General features: G+C 44.0%; 1 protein-coding gene and 1 long non-coding RNA gene across 2 annotated transcripts in view, besides 2 other annotated features; both read right to left on the reverse strand.

Moving 5' to 3' along the window:
- CACUL1 (CDK2 associated cullin domain 1) overlaps window positions 1–10,645 on the reverse strand; it is a 78,560-nt gene extending 67,915 nt beyond the window's left edge. Inside the window, exon 1 of the mRNA NM_153810.5 lies at window positions 10,071–10,645. Coding sequence (NP_722517.3) covers window positions 10,071–10,437 — 367 coding nt within the window. The 5' untranslated portion in view covers window positions 10,438–10,645. The remainder of the gene's footprint in view (window positions 1–10,070) is intronic.
- Window positions 10,574–10,713: an enhancer, noted in NCBI's record as "active region_4103". NCBI's record gives its function as "activates an Ori minimal core promoter by ATAC-STARR-seq in GM12878 lymphoblastoid cells {active_cell/tissue: GM12878}" and the evidence as "EXISTENCE:reporter gene assay evidence [ECO:0000049][PMID:35858748]".
- Window positions 10,712–11,006: an enhancer, noted in NCBI's record as "tiled region #11808; HepG2 Activating DNase unmatched - State 1:Tss, and K562 Activating DNase matched - State 1:Tss". NCBI's record gives its function as "activates a minimal TATA promoter and a strong SV40 promoter by Sharpr-MPRA in HepG2 and K562 cells {active_cell/tissue: HepG2 | K562}" and the evidence as "EXISTENCE:reporter gene assay evidence [ECO:0000049][PMID:27701403]".
- On the reverse strand, window positions 13,428–15,124 carry LOC107987151 (uncharacterized). The gene is made up of 2 exons (XR_001747604.3): window positions 14,308–15,124; window positions 13,428–14,261 (listed from the first exon to the last, which is right to left on the reverse strand). It is a non-coding gene; the product is annotated as an uncharacterized LOC107987151 (long non-coding RNA).
- Window positions 15,125–16,710: the final 1,586 nt, after the last annotated feature.

The raw sequence follows: 16,710 nt of genomic DNA on the forward strand, positions 1-16,710 counted from the left end.
TGGTGAGCTGAGATCGCGCCATTGCACTCCAGCCTGGGCAACAAGAGCAAAACTCCGTCTCAAAACAAAAACAAAAACAAACAAAAAAAACAAAGATCTGGAATAGGTAAACCCAGAGAGACAGAAAGCAAATTGGTGGATGCCAGGGGCAGGGAGAAGTGAGGAAACGGAACTAATTGCTTAATGGGTATGGAATGTTATTTTGGGTTGATGAAAATGTTTTGGAACTAGATAGAGGTAGTTGCACAACACTGGGCATGTACTCAATGTCACTGAATTATTCACTTTAAAATAGTTAATTGTGTGTTACATAAATTTCATTCCAAGTTTTTTTGGGGGGCCGGGGCAGGAACAGATTCTCGTCATGTCGCCCAGCTTGGAGTGCAATGATGCGGTCTCAGCTCACTGCAACCACCACCTCCTGGGTTCAAGCAATTCTCCTGCCTCAGCCTCCTGAGTAGCTGGGATTATAGGCGCACACCACTACACCTGGCTAATTTTTGTATTTTTAGTATGGACGGGGTTTCACCACGTTGGCCAGGCTGGTCTCAAACTCCTGACCTTGTGATTCACCCACCTCAGCCTCCCAAAGTGCTGGGATTACAGGCATGAGCCACCGCGCCCGGCTCATTCCAACTTTTAAAAAAAGATACGTGACAGTTTTGAGCAAAATTAATGACAGTGTATTTGGGGAATTATGACATATATTAAAGTTAAAATGTACAACAATAGCATAAAGGACAATAGTGGATAAATGGAAGTATACTGCTATTAGATTTTTACATTATAAGTAAAGTAGTCTAATACTATTTGAAGGTAGACTGTTGTAAGTTAAACTTTCATAATCATAAATCCTAGAGTAACCCCCAAAGAGCAAAACAACCATGCTAATAAGCCAAACTGGAGACAAAACTGAATCATAAAAATAACAAAAAAGAAGACAGGAAAAGGGTTGGGCCCAGTGGCTCATGACTGTAATCCTAGCACTTTGGGAGGCCGAGGTAGGTAGGTGGATCACCTGAGGTCAGGAGTTCAAGACCAGCCTGGCCAACACGGCGAAACCTCACCTCTACTAAAAATACAAAAATTAGCTGGGTGTGGTGGCACATGACTGTAATCCCAGCTACTCGGGAGGCTGAGAAAGGGAATCGCTTGAACCTGGGAGGTAGAGGTTGCAGTGAGCCGAGATCGTGCCACTGCACTCCAGCCTGGGCGACAGAGTGAGACTCCGTCTCAAAAAAAAAAATGGAGACAGGAAAAAAGGAACATTTTTTAAATAACAGATGGACAAAGAGTAAACAAAAGTGCAAGACAATATGATTTAAACCCTACCATATTGGTAACTACATTAAACACAATGGTAGCAGAGGTTGTCAGACTGGATTTTAAAAAAGATCCAACCATATGTTGTCTACAAGAAATGTACTTTACACAAAAAATAAATTAAAAGTAAAATGATGGTAAAAGATACATTATGCAAACAATAACCCTTAAAAAAAAACCTGGAATGCCTACAAGTAAAAGTAGTCTTGGCTGGGAATGGTGGCTCATGCCTGTAATCCCAGCACTTTGGGAAGCCGAGGTGGGTGGATCGCAAGGTCAGGAGATCGAGACCATCCTGGCTAATACGGTGAAACCCCATCTCTACTAAAAAAAAAAATACAAAAAAAAAAAAAATTAGCTGGGCGTGGTGGCTGGCGCCTGTAGTCCCAGCTACTCAGGAGGCTGAGGCAGGAGAATGGCGTGAACCCAGGAGGCAGAGCTTGCAGTGAGCTGAGATCGCACCACTGCACTCCAGCCTGGGCAACAGAGCGAGACACTGTCTCAAAAAAAAAAAAAAAGGAGTCTTTAGGGTAAGGAATATTAACAAGGATAAAGTCAGACATTCCATCATGATAAACAGTCAATTCATCAAGAAGATATGCAACAATCCTAAATCTGATGGACTAAATAAGATTAATGAAATAGAACTGACGCCCACACATACATGGTCAGTTATTTCTGACAAAGTTTCCAAAGTAACCCAGTAAGAAAAGGATAGTCTTTTCAACAAATAGTGCCAACACAATTGGATATCCATATAGAATAAACGGAGCCTCAATCCTTATCTCACACTATACAGACATCAACTCATAATTCAGATCACAGACCTAAACGTAAAAGCTAAAACCATAAAACTGCTAAGAAAAATTACAGATAAAATCTTGACTTTGGGGTAGGCAAATATTTCTTAGGATACAAAAAACAACAGCTAGAAGAAAAAATTGACAGTTTAGACATTATCAAAACTGAAAAACATGTACTCTTCAGAAGACACCGTTAAGAAAAAAAAGACAAACCAGAGGGAGAAAACAGTAATAATAGTTGTCTGACAAAACTTGTATCCAAAATTTATAGCGAATTCTTTAAACACATTAAGACAAACAACAAAAGAAATGAGCAAAAGATGTGAGCAGATTATCACAAACAAAATTATAAGGCAAGCAAATGATCACATGAAAAAGCCAACGGCACATGTAAAAGAGAAATGCAAAATAAATACACAAAGAGATACTACGATTCTCTAGAACAGGGGTCCCCAACCCCAGGCCACAGGAACCGGTCGGTGGCCTGTAAGGAACCAGGCCACACATCAGGAGGTGAGCTGTGGGCCGGCGAGCATTACCACCTGAGCCCCACCTCCTGTCAGATCAGCGCAGGAATTAGATTCTCAAAGGAGCGCCAACCCTATAACGCAAGGGATCTAGGTTGCGCACTCCTTACCAGACTCTAAGACCTGATGATCCGAGGTGGAACAATTTCATCCCAAAACCATCCCCCAGTCCACAGAAAAATTGTCTCTTCCACGCAACTGGTCCCTGGTGGGGACCGATGCTCTAGAAAGGCTAAACTTTAAAAGACTGACAATACCAAGAATGCAGAGCCTAACCAGTACAAGTGCCAATTAAGTAAGTGGAGCAACTGGAGCTGTCATATACAGCTGATGGGAGTGTAAAATGGTGCAACCACCCTAAAGAATTGTTTGGCAGTTTCTCATAAAGTTAAACGTATCAGTAATATATAAGCAAGGAATTCCACTTGTATGAAACCTTTACCCACACCAAACCTTGTACATGGTTGTTTACAGCAGTTGTGTTCATGACAGCCAAAACCAGAGACCACCTAAATGATCAACCTAATGACCAACAAATTAATGATTTTTTGGTAAATCAAAAAAAAAAAAAAAAGACTACTTTGGGATATCCAAAAAAAAAAAAAACTACTACTCCTCAGTCAGAAAAATGAATAAGTAACTGACATATGCGAGAACGTGGAAGAATCTCAAGAACAGAATAAGAAACAAGCCAAGCACAAAACAATACACATTGTATGATTTCATTTATATGAAATCCTACAGTGACAGAAGGCAGATCAGTAGGAATGCTTGGGGCTGGAGGAAGCAGGCAGCGTTAACTGACTGCAAAGAGACACAGGGAAGGCAGAGCATGGTAGTTTACAACTGTAATCCCAGCACTCTGGGAGTCCAAGGCAGGTAGATCACTTGGGGCCAGGAATTCAAGATCAGCCTGGCCAACATGGTGAAACCCCATCCCTACTAAAAACACAAAAATTAGCTAGGTGTGGTGGTGTGTGCCTGTAATCCCAGCTGCTCGGGAGGCTGATGTGGGAGAATCACTTGAACCCGGGAGCCAGAGGTTGCAGTGAGCCGAAATCGTGCCACTGCACTCCAGCCTGGGCGACAGAGTGAGATCCCATCTCCAAAAAAAAAGAGAGAGACAGAGAAACATAGGGAAGTATTTCAGGGTGACAGAAATGTTCTCTTGGTTGTTGTGGTGGTTACTGCTGGACAGACAGTCCTCCGTGGGCCTCACGCACTCCGACATGTCTTATTGAGTATGCCAGGAATGCAATCACTCTTGAACCTGGGCCATTCTGTACCTGGTAACCTTGAAAGACGAGATAACATCTCCCGCTAGACAAAGAGCAGGCTTGCTCACTGCTTTCTATAAAAGTAGTGGATTCCCCAAGTTTGATGTTCTTCAGCTGCAACACAGAACCACTGAGAGAGCATCCATCTTGGTCATAGTATGTCACCCTCTTGGGACTTGGGGGAAGGGGAAACTATGCAAATATAGCAATTCTCATGCTGTGTGCTATGACAAGAAAAATAAATTCCTTCATCTCTCACTCAGGAGTCCCCCATCTTATGTCAGCACCCAGTAATACAAGTTGAGAATCCTAAATCCAAAAATCCAAAATCTGAAACTTTTTGAGCACCAATATGATGCTTAAAGGAAATGTTCACTGGAAAATTTTGGATTTTGAATTTTTGGATTTGGGATGCTCAATCATTTGGTATAACACAAATATTCCAAAATCCGAAAAAAATCTGAAATCCAAAACACTTCTGGCCCCAAGCATTTTGGATGAGGGATAGTCAACCTGTAACAGTAATAGGCTACCTTTTAAGTATTAGTAGGGTAAAATCAAATTCCACACCAGACGGCGACATGGGTTAAAATGCATCAAACTGCACACCTAAAATGGGTACACTATATTGAATGGAGGAGAAGAGGTGTGGAGGAAGAAAATGGACACAGGAAAAAGAGGAAAGGAAAAGGAAGAAGAGTCAGGAGGAGGGAGGAAGCAGTCAGAACAGAAATTACTTAGTACGTGGAGAAATGAGTCCAGACATATGAAGAAAGGAATATAAATTTGTCATGTTCTAACCCACTCTTACTCCCTGAACTGTGCTCTGAGAAGGTCCTTCACCAACTGAGAAATATATAAATAATTAAATATAATTACTGAAAAAAATGCTGTGGTGGTTGTCCCTTGTAATTCTGGGTTAACGATGGGCAATACTGCCATTAAAAGAGGTTCCCTGATTTCAGTGGAATAGTTCTACTTCCAGAGTGACGAAGTGGAAATAACTTCCAGATATAAAATGGGCATGATTATTTAAAGAGGCAGCAGGGCCAGAGTGATCAGCAGAATGGCTTGGATTTCTGGTGGCTTGGATTTCTGGTGGCTTGGATCTCCCTCATGGTGGCTAACCATGATATCCTTAGGAAAACAAAGGCAATATACTGGGGTATTACTTGATCTGTTATAATGGACAGAAAAGAAAAACTCTAGATATATTAAACAGAGGTCTCACCTAAGTGGCATAATGGAAAGCCATGTAACCTCACCTAAAACCCACAATGAGCCTATTCACAGACACAGAAATGCTGGAATAAAGAAGAGGATGAGTTCCACTGAGGAAGAACCCCACATAATTAAAGTCTTCCTCCTAGCCTTTTCCAATAGAACATGCAGGTATTTATTAGGGAGATAGTACATTTGGGAAATGGAAATCACTGAGACTTTTCAAAGATTAATAAACACTGGCTCTAAGCCAATACGAACCCTAAGAGACAGGAACGTCACTATGGTAAACCAGGCAGATCAGGGGCTTATGGACGTCACATAAATGGTGTTTTGGCCTCAATCCATCTCACAGTAGGGCTGGTGGACCCGTAGTAACACTGTAACTCCCCCAGTTCTGAAACTAGTTCATGGTTCCCTAACCTGTGAAGTCAGGAATATCAACATAGGAAGGGCTAGATGTACCCTTTCCTACCAAAGTAATAAACTCGAAGCAACAAACAACACATCTCTGTGGGAACTATAGAAAACACTATCAATGTCAAAGACTTTAAAAATAAGAAAGGAGGGCCGGGCGTGGTGGCTCACGCCTGTAATCCCAGCACTTTGGGAGGCCAAGGCGGGTGGATGACCTGAGGTCAGGAGTTTGAGACCAGCCTGACCAACATGGTGAAACACATCTCTACTAAAAATACAAAAATTAGCCGGGCATGGTGGTGCACACCTGTAATCCCAGCTACTCAGGAGGCTGAGGCAGGAGAATTGCTTGAATCCGGGAGGCGGAGATTGCAGTGAGCTAAGACTGCACCACGGCACTCCAGCCTGGCGACAGAGCGAGACTGTCTCAAAAAAAAAAAAGGAATGGTGATAATTATGACATTCTTATTTCATGGGTCTGTTTGGCCAGAGCAAAAGAGATGAGTCTTGGAGCATGACTGTGGATTATCATCGATCAAATCCAAAGTGACTCCAATTTTAGTTGCTGTTCCAGACATGGTCTCTTCACTGTGACAAATCAACACCATCCCTGGCACCTACCATGTATCCATCAAGATAATAAATGCTTTTTATCTCTGTCCCAAAACTAGAAACCAACAGAAGCTGTTTTCACCTTACAGTCTAAAGTATACCTTCACTGCCATAGCTGAGGGATACATTAACGCGGCAGCTATCTTCCACTATCTGGTCCACAGAGACTTCGGACATCTCAACATCTCACAAGTTCACTACACTGCTATTCCCACAAGCAAGTATACGTTTTCCTGTATTACCATATCCCCATTGCACTTGGCACTATTCATTCAGCTTTCTAATTTTTGTCAACCTAAAGGTGGAAAAAGACATTCCGTTACTATTTTATTCTTTAATTTTTGTGGGTATATAGTAGGCATATATTTTTATGAGGTATATGGGATATTTTGATACAGGCATACAGTGTGTAATAATCCCATCAGGGAAAATGCGGTACCATCACCTCAAGCATTTATCCTTTGTTTTACAAACAATCCAATTATACTCTTTTCCATTACTATTTTAATATGCATGTCTCTGAATATTAATAAATTCATCTCTTCTTATGCTTTTTAGGGTTTCCTATTCTTTCTATAAGCTACTTATTAATATCCTTTGCCTATTTTTCTACAGAAGTTGCTGCCCTCTTGTTGATGTATAGTAAGTAGTCCCTTGTCTAGTCAGATCATCATCCCTTGTTAATTTTAGGCACTGTAAATATCTTCTCTAATTTTTTCATCTTTTGCCAAATGAATAATTTTCATATAATCAAAATAATTAATTTTTCACCTTTATAAACTTTTGAAGCTTTAAAAAGTACTTCCCTGTCCCTAGGGAAAGAGCTTAACATTTTCAATAATGTTAACTTTGGTTTTTCTTTTCACATTTAGGTCTTTAATTCATTTGGAGTCTATCCATTTATGATATTAAATTTATTTTTTCTCTATATAGTGAGTCACTCTCCCTAACAACATATGACTCCTTTCTCCAGTGGTTTATGATGCCACTTAAAAAGTTCCCAACTTTTATACATGTATCCAGGTAAGTCTCTGCCCTCCAATTTGTTTCCTTGGTCTATTTTTCTGTTCTCGCACTTACACCACTTTAACTACAGCCTTGACATCTTAACTTCTAATAAGGCAAGCCTCCCATCCCCAAACAAATCTTTAAGATTGATTCTGTTATTCACAAACTTTATCCCACACACCATATAAATTTTAGACTTAGGCTATTGAGTTTGTCAAACCAAATGTAATTTTGACGTCATTTAAACTGAATTTATAAATTGGAGAAAATTAGTATTCTTGTAAGTAATTTGATCCAAGAGCAAGGAAAATTGTACCATTTATTTAGATTATCCTCTAGTTTCTTTTTCAAGTTTTAAAGTTTCCTTTTTAAAGGTCTTGCGTATTCACGGGTTGATTCCTAGAGACTTTAGAGTTTTGTTGCTATTATTACATATAGTATTTACTTTTGATTATCTTTACTAGTTATCACTAGTTTAGTAAATGCTATCAAATTTTTGTAAGTTTATCTTAAATCCAGCAATCCTGCTAAACTCTTACTAGTTCTAAGTTTTCTCTGGATTTTAATGGTTCATCTAGGTAGGTGATCATATTATCTGCAAATAATAACTTTTATTGCTTCCCTTACAATCTTTATACCTTATTTTTTTGCTCCTTATAATGTTAGCCAGGACCTTCCTACAATGCTAAACAGTAGTAATGACAGGAGCATCCTTATCTTGTTACGGATCTTAAAGTATATGTATCTAAAATTTCTCCATTAAGTATTATTATTTACTGAAGGTTTTTGGTAATGACCTTTATCTAGTTATCTTGTACTCCTAGGTTACCAAGAGTTTTTATCATAAATAGCTGCTGGATCTAGTTGAATGATTTCAGGGCACCAATTGAGATAATCGTAATTTTTTTCCTTTAGTCTATTAAAGAGCTAAATTAGATAAGTAGATGTTAAACCATGCTTTCATCTCTAGGACTAACTCTATGGATCAGGACTCTGTAACACACTGTTGGATTTGATGAGCGAGTATTTATTCTGCAGTATTTTCATTTCTATGCTAAGTAAAACAGACCTATAATTTTCTCTTCTTACATGTCCTTATCTGTTTTAGAATCAAGATTTCACAAGCCTCATAAAATGAACTTGGTATTTTTTCTATTTTCCAGTGCAACTTGCAAAAAGAATTAAGTGTTAAAGTATGGTGGAACTCATCAGCGTATCTGGATGCAGAGCTTCTAAAAAGGGAGATCTTTACCATTTCAGTTTATTAGTTCAAGATATTTCTTCTGATACCAATTTTCACATTTACTAGTTTTCTAAGAACTATATTTTTCATTTAGGCTTTCAAATTCATCAGCCTAAGTTCATAACGTTCTTTTTTTAATCTGATATTTGTAGTTATTTTCCATTTTTCATTTATTTGCATCTTTTTTTCTTGTCGTTTTTATCAGAGGTCTGTCTGCCTAGCTTACTCATCTTTTCACAAAAATAATCTTTTGGTGTGACAAATCCTTTTGTTCTCAATTTTACTGATTTCTGTTCCTAACTTTATGCTCTTTTTTGAACTCTTCAAAGGAACTTTACTAAGGCAATCTTCCTTCGTGACTCAGGTGAAGTCATTCTGCCACTCTACAGGAGGTCTGGTTCCACAACACAGCCTTCAACACACAAACTATACAATATAAACATGATTATCATGAATAAGGAGAAAAAGCGTATATAATCTTACCAAACGTACATATCAATGTCTTTGACTAAGGCAGTATCTTGGGGCAAATAAAATTACGCGCTGTTCCCACACACAGTGTGTAAGATTCCGACTATCTGCATCAAGGCAAATATTTTCTCTGCACAGCTAACTGGACAAGTACAGCTTCATAAAATTAGTAGCTAGAAATGAACTCTCCAGTTGCTTTACCAGATGCCACTCAAAACTTGCAGTTAATAATAGGAGAGAAAAACCTGGCTGTGATGGTCACAATCATTTTCAACATCCTATCACCACCACCACCGCCACGCACACATACACACAAACCAAAGTAAAAGCACATTCTTTTCCTAGCTATGGAAGCATACATATATCCTGGTCAGAGGCAGTTTCGGATTACAAAACAGATTTTGGTCTTAAATCTTAATGCGTGCAATTGAGCGTTAAGACAGACTACTAACATAAAGTTCAACATGCAACCCAATCTTGGGTTTGGACACAAGACATAACCCATCCTGAAAGGCTTATTCTTATGAGTGTAAGCTCTGAAAAGTGATTTTATGCATTATTAGCTTCAAGACGATGTCGGAGCTGCCACTGCATCGGAAAGCAACTCATTATTTCCCTAGCAGGATGCAAAAGTGTAACACAGTAGAGAAGGAACAAGGTGTAGATATAGGTCAACTTTCAAATTCCTTACTTGTTTAACACAGCCTGGCCAAAAACACAAGAACACAAGTTGCCAGATTTCTTTTCTCTCTCTGGCTGCAGAAGACTGAAGGCCTTTCCCTAACGAGACTCAGGCAGCCTTATTTTCCCCTCACTTTGAGGGTGAAACTTCAAGAGAAGACGGGTGCGAAAAGAGCTTCCCAATGTTGAGAGACTGCCAGTTGTGATAGGGATCGCACTGACCGAACTTGGGGCTCCGTGTGTACCAGGCTGCCTCTCTAGGCCAGGTAATACAAGAAGCCAGGGCCGCTCAGGCGCTGGCCGCAGACACCAAATGAGGGGGAGGGGACGGTGAGGGGGAAGGAGGCAGGGAGGCGAAGGCGGACGGGGAGAAGAGGAAAGACCGAGGCCTGAAACAAAGGAAGCGGAGCTTTCTCCAAGAGGGGGTGGATTCGGCGTCCGAGTGAGGTGGAGAAAAGCCAAGGCTGCAGGGAAAGGCTGGACTCACAGAACTTGGAGGTGGAGGTGTTGATGTTGATGGTGGAGCTGGCGGTGGGGGCGGGGGCCGCCTTGGCCACGGCGGCGGCCGCGTCGCAGCTCTTCAACATCATGATCACCCCATTAGCCTCCGGCGGTGGCTGCGGCCCCATCGGGAGCCCCTCCTTGGGGCCTTTCCTGTCCACGGAGACCGCGGGCACCGCCAGCAGCTGCCCCCCCGGAGGCTCTCGGGCAGGGGCCGGGATCGACGAGGGGGGCGGCGGAGGTGGCAGGGGCTGCCGGAAGCCGTCCACCGCAGCCTCCCAGTTGTTGTGGTTCTGGTCGTCCATCATCGCCTCGTAGCTGCCCCCCTCCTCCTCTTCCATGCTTTCCTCCATCCTGCTGGCCCCCGGCACCCGCCCGCCTCACAGGCACCTGCCGCCTGTCTCAACCCCGGGCCAGCGGGCACCGCTGCCTCCCCGAGTTACATCGCCGGCGGCAGGAATGGGCGCAGCGGAGAGGGCTGCGGTGCGCAGGGTCTCTCGCTCTCCGCGGGGCCGACTAGCTTGAAGACGCGGCTGACGGCGGTGGGCGCTCCGGGGCTCTAGTCTGGGAGAGGCAGCCGTAAAGCAGCGGCGCTCCTCACGACGTTTTACAGCGGCTTCCAACAGGCAGTTGGAAAGGGCAGCTGGGGGCGCGGCCAGGAGGGCACGTGGTGCGAGGGACTGGCCGCGAGAAAGCGGAGCCAAAAGGGGCGGGAGCTGTGAGTCACTCCCACGCAACAGGGCAGAGGTTCGCCCCGCCTCGGCTGGCAGGGAGCTAACAGGGGAGGCGCGACGGGTCGGGACGGGCATTCGCCGGCCCCGCCCCCTGCCCGGCCTCACGTGACAAAGGTGTGTCTTGCGCACGCGCGTTCGCAATCTGGTTACCATGACGACGAGGCCCTCGCCGGTTCCTGAGGACGCGCGCGGAGCAGTCTTGGCAGTAGCTGTGGACTGGCCAGAGTGATTGGAGGTGTTTTCCTCGCGTCCTCCAAGTCTACGGGGCCTTCGCACCTCTGAGTGCCTGAGAGCCCCGGCTTTTGCTTGGGACGGAGGTACGGGACCACAAGAGGCCCCGGGGTCGCAGGTTATAAACGGATGAGACCGCCCTGGGCGGCCCGTGGTCCGACTGCTCTTGGGTCGGTCCCCAGCCGTCGCGACACACACGCACAAAATCGAGAATAAAAACCGAATCACACATAGCAGGATGGCGCAAAAAAGAAATGCGTTTGAGTTACTCATGTGTTTTTAAAATTCCTTTACGTTTGTATGCACTAAGGCCAGCAACCCAACTTTTAAAAATGCCGGCTCAGGCCGGGCGCGGTGGCTTACTCCTGTAATCCCAGCACTTTGGGAGGCTGAGGCGGGCGGATCACGAGGTCAGGAAATCGACACTATTCTGGCTAACACGGGAAACCCCGTTTCTACTAAAAATACAAAAAAGTTAGCCGGGCGTGGTGGCACGTGCCTGTTGTCCCAGCTAGCTGCTCGGGAGGCTGAGGCAGAATTGCTTGAACCCGGGAGGCAGAGGTTGCAGTGAGCCGAAATCGCGCCACTGCACTCCAGCCTGGGCAACAGAGCGAGACTCCATCTCAAAAAAAAAAAAAAAATGCGAGCTGGGCGCAGTGGCTCACGCCTGTAATTCAACCACTTGAGGAGACAGAGATGGGAGGCCCGCTTGTGCCCAGGAATTCGAGACCAGCCAGACCAGCATAACAAGACCACGCCTCTAAAAACAAAATTAGCCTGGCATGGTGGCGTGTGCCTGTGGTCCCAGCTACTCTGGAGGCTTAGGTGGATCACTTGAGCCCTGGAGGTCAAGGCTGCAGTGAGCCGAGATCGCGCAACTGCACTCCAGCCTGGGTGACAGAGTGAGACTGTCTCCAAAAAAAAAAAGAGAATTAAGTGGTATGCTGAAGGGGAAAACATAAAACCTTAGAATTACATGTGTGGCAAAAAGAGAGGCAGAAGGAAGGCAAATTCTGTTTCAAACAACTAATGGTTTATCATCAACAGACTCTAGGTAGATGGCTGGGTGAGTGCGATGGGATAAAGAAGGGTCTTTACATTTAAAAAAAAAGTCCAATATACAGGGAAGATAGAGTCAAAAAAGTGTCTCTAACATACTGTGTCATAAAGCAAGTCTTTACATATCTAAGGATTTATATCATAGCGACTATATGGCCACAAAATATATGAAGCGAAAATGAACAGAAGTATAAGAAGACAAAGAAATCTACCATCAGAGTAGGTGATTTTTCACTCCCTCTCTAATTGCAGTGAGTTGAATACAGCCTCCCACAAGATATGTCCATATCCTAATTCCTAGAACTTGCGAGTATGACCTTATTTGGAAAAACGGCGTTTGCAGATGTAATTAAAGTTCTTGAGATGAGAAGATCATCCTGGATTATCCAGGTGGGCCATCAATCCAATGATAGGTGTCTTTATAAAAGAGAGGTAGAAGAGAAGAGAAGGTAATGTAACCACAGAAGCAGAGATTGGAGTGATGGCATTCCCAAGTCAAGGAATGCTGACAGCACCCAAAGCTGGAAGAGACAAATTTTCCTCTTGAGCCTCTGGAGGGATTGTGACCCTGCCAACATGTAGATTTCAGACTTCTAGATGCCAGAACTGAGAATTCATGTCGGTTTTTTTAAGCCACCTATTGTGATAATTTGTTAAGCAACTGATTACAGGAAACTAATACATAGACCGAGGGGACCAAAAAAATCTTTAAGGTACTGGAAGAGTTGAGTAACACAATTACCAAGCTTAATCTAATATATATGTGTAGAATATTGCCTTAATGACCATAGAATACACACTCCTATCAAGAATATGCTAAACATTTACAAAAATTGAACATACTGTGTCATAAAGCAAGTCTCCACATATCTAAGGATTTATATCATAGTAACCACATTTTCTGGTCACTATATAGGTAAGTTAAAAATCAATAACCAAAAGGTAACTGGCAAGCCCCATATTTCCACTATTCCAATTAACTCATGGGTCATAAAATCATAATAGAAATTAGAAAACATTTAGAACTGATGGGCTTGGTACTAATCATAGCAATGTAACTTCCATCCTCTTGAGGGCCCTGCTCCAAGGGTTTTTACCCAGCACACTGATGAATACTGAACCTTTTGTGTGTGTGTTGTCAAAATGATCAATATAACAGCCATTTTTGCTGTAATTAAACTACTGTGACAAGACCTAATGACAGTTGAGCGAAACCAGTCACTGACAGGGGACAATTTCCCATAAGAAATCCTACTGAAGGGAAACCAAATGAACATATTGGTAACTGGTTGATTTTGTGGCATTATGAGACATTGTTATACTTTAGAGCATATTATATTTTAATAGTTATTAACATAAATCTTTGATTTGTTCTGGGTTGTGGAGATGGGGTATAACATTATTAGCAACATTTACCCAAAAACAGTGAACACAAGGTTAGTAGTTACTATGACGTTCCATAGTCGCAGATATTCATCTATTTGTTCGGTTTTTGTTTGTCTGTTTCTATTTCCCACTAGGCTGTGAATTTCATTAAAGCAGGATAAATATATGTGTAAAATTTCTGTGTAAGTTTGGATACATAAAGAGGAAACTAACTCAAAACTCAATAGCAGTTATCTAGGGATAGTGAGATTATGGATGGTCTTAATGTTCTTCTTTATATCTTTCAATGTTTTCTTGGTTCTCTACAATAAGTATGTATTATTTTTATAATCAGAAAAGAATTCTGAAACTTAAAGATTAACAAATAAAAACGTTAAGTATAAATTGGGATTCCATAGGCTAAAATGTTTGTTTTGGCTTCCAGAAGCAAAAACTCAAATAAAAATTGCTTTAAAATCAAGGCTGTTCATTGGCTAAGAGACTGAGAAGGTCTAGGAATGGTGGAGGTGAGGCAGGGCTCAGCCATTACTGAGCTCTGCTTCTCTGTGGTGTTGTCTTGTTCTCTCTTGTGCATGTTTCACCCTTAGGCTGCCTACAAAATGCCTGCCACAGCCCCTGGCCTCAGGTCTATGGACAAGAAGTCAAGATGAAAAGGGCCTGTGAATTCTGGTAGCTTTCTATTATGAGAAAATTCCCAGAAGCCCTCAGGAAACTTCCTCACAGTGTCTCATTGGTCCATTCCTAAACCAATCACATGGCACTTAGACCTGGATTCCAGAGCCCTTTACTGGAAAGGGTATGGACTCATTAGACCTGGATTCCAGAGCCCTTTACTGGAAAGGGTATGGATTCATTCCTGGAAAATAAAGCCCATTCCTGGAACTTAGCATGGGATCAGCTTCTCCCTAAGTACATTGGCTGAGAGGGGAAGGAGTGGCTAGAAGAACAAATATTGGAGTCAATCGGGAATGTTTAAAGTGCTGGGTAGGCTACAATTCCATTATAGGCCAAAGTATGGAATCCCCTAGAACTCCTATTACCTAACCTTACCCCAGCCTCTCCACTACCTGCCCTTCATAAATGCCTCCCTAATCAATATATCTATGCAAAATTATGTACATACTGATTAGAATCAAGAAAGACATAACCGGCCAGGCAGTGTCTGATATCTGTAATCCCAACACTTTGGGAGGCCAAGGCGGGTGGATCACCTGAGGTCAGGAGTTCAAAACCAGCCTGGCCAACGTGTTGAAACCCTGTCTCTACTAAAAATACAAAAATTAGCTGGACGTGGCGGCATGCACCTGTAATCCCAGTGTGTCCAGAATTGGTGGGTTCTTGGTCTCACTGACTTCAAGAATGAAGCTGCAGACCCTCGCAGTGAGTGTTGCAGCTCTTAAGGTGGCACGTGTGGAGTTTGTTCCTTCTGATGTTCGGATGTGTTCGGAGTTTCTTCCTTCTGCTGGGATCATGGTCTCGCTGGCTCAGGAGTGAAGCTGCAGACCTTCACAGTGAGTGTTATAGCTCATAAAAGCAGTGTAGACCCAAAGAGTGAGCAGCAGCAAGATATATTGCAAAGAGTGAAAAAACAAAGCTTCCACAGTGTTGAAAGGGACGGGGGCGGGTTGCCACTGCAGGCTCCGGCAGCCTGCTTTTATTCTCTTATCTGGCCCCACCCCCATCCTGCTGATTGGTCCATTTTACAGAGAGCCGAGTGGTCTGTTTTGACAGGGCACTGATTGGTGCGTTTACAATCCCTGAGCTAGACACAAAGGTTCTCCAAGTCCCCAATAGATTAGCTAGATACAGAGTGTGGACACAAAGGCTCTCCAAGTCCCCACCAGAGTAGCTAGATACAGAGTGTCAATTGGTGCATTCACAAACCCTGAGCTAGACACAGGGTGCTGATTGGTGTGTTTACAAACCTTGAGCTAGACACAGGGTGCTGATTGGTGTATTTACAATCCCGTAGCTAGACATAAAGTTTCTCCAAGGCCCCACCAGACTAGCTAGATACAGAGTGTTGATTGGTGCATTTACAAACCCTGAGCTAGACACAGGGTGCTGATTGGTGTATATACAATCCCTTTGCTAGACATAAAGGTTCTCCAAGTCCCCACCAGACTAGCTAGATACAGAGTGTGGATTGGTGCATTCACAAACCCTGAGCTAGACACAGGGTGCTGATTGGTGTATTTACAATCCCTTAGCTAGACATAAAGGTTCTCCAAGTCCCCACCAGACTCAGGAGCCCAGCTGGCTTCACCCAGTGGATCCAGCAAGAGGGCTGCAGGTGGAGCTGCCTGCCAGTCCCGCGCCCTGCGCCCACACTCCTCAGCCCTTGGGTGGTCAATGGGACTAGGCGCCGTGGAGCAGAGAGCGGTGCTCGTCTGGGAGGCTGGGGCTGCACAGGAGCCCACGGAGGCGGGGGCAGGCTAAGGCATGACGGGCTGTAGGTCCTGAGCCCTGCCCCGCGGGAAGGCAGCTATGGCCCGGCGAGAAATTGAGCGCAGCGCTGGTGGGCCGGCACTGCTGGGGGACCCACTACACCCTCCGCCGCCGCCAGCCCAGGTGCTAAGCCCCTCACTGCCCGGGGCCGGCGGGGCCCGCTGGCCGCTCCGAGCGCGGGGACCGCCGAGCCCAAGCCTACCCGGAACTCGCGCTGGCCCACAAGCATCACGGGAAGCCCCGGTTCCCGCCCGCGCCTCTCCCTCCACACCTCCCCTCAAGCTGAGGGTGCCGGCTCCGGCCTCGGCCAGCCCAGGAAGGGGCTCCCACAGTGCAGCCGCGGGCTGAAGTGCTCCTCAAGTGCCGCCAAAGTGGGAGCCCAGGCAGAGGATGTGCGGAGAGCGAGCGAGGACTGTGAGGGCTGCCAGCACGCTGTCACCTCTCACCAGCTACTTGGGAGGCTGAGGCAGAAGAATCACTTGAACCTGGGAGACGGAGGTTGCAGTAAGCCGAGATCATGCCGCTGCACTCCAGCCTGGGAGACAGAGTGACACTCCATCTTAAAAAAAAATAAAAATAAAAGACATAACCCATGTTTGTTTAATTATGAAATGCCATGTGGCCAATTGTCTAAAATAGTTAAAACATTGGGGGGGGGTGGGCTACAGAGACTTGGTCACTAAGAATTAGTCTTTGTACGGCTTTAAATACATTGTCACTTTCCCAAACAATATTTATTTGTAATTGTTCAATACTTTTTAATGAATA

Source organism: Homo sapiens, chromosome 10, assembly GCF_000001405.40.
Source record: "Homo sapiens chromosome 10, GRCh38.p14 Primary Assembly".
NCBI classification, from domain to species: Eukaryota; Metazoa; Chordata; class Mammalia; order Primates; family Hominidae; genus Homo; species Homo sapiens.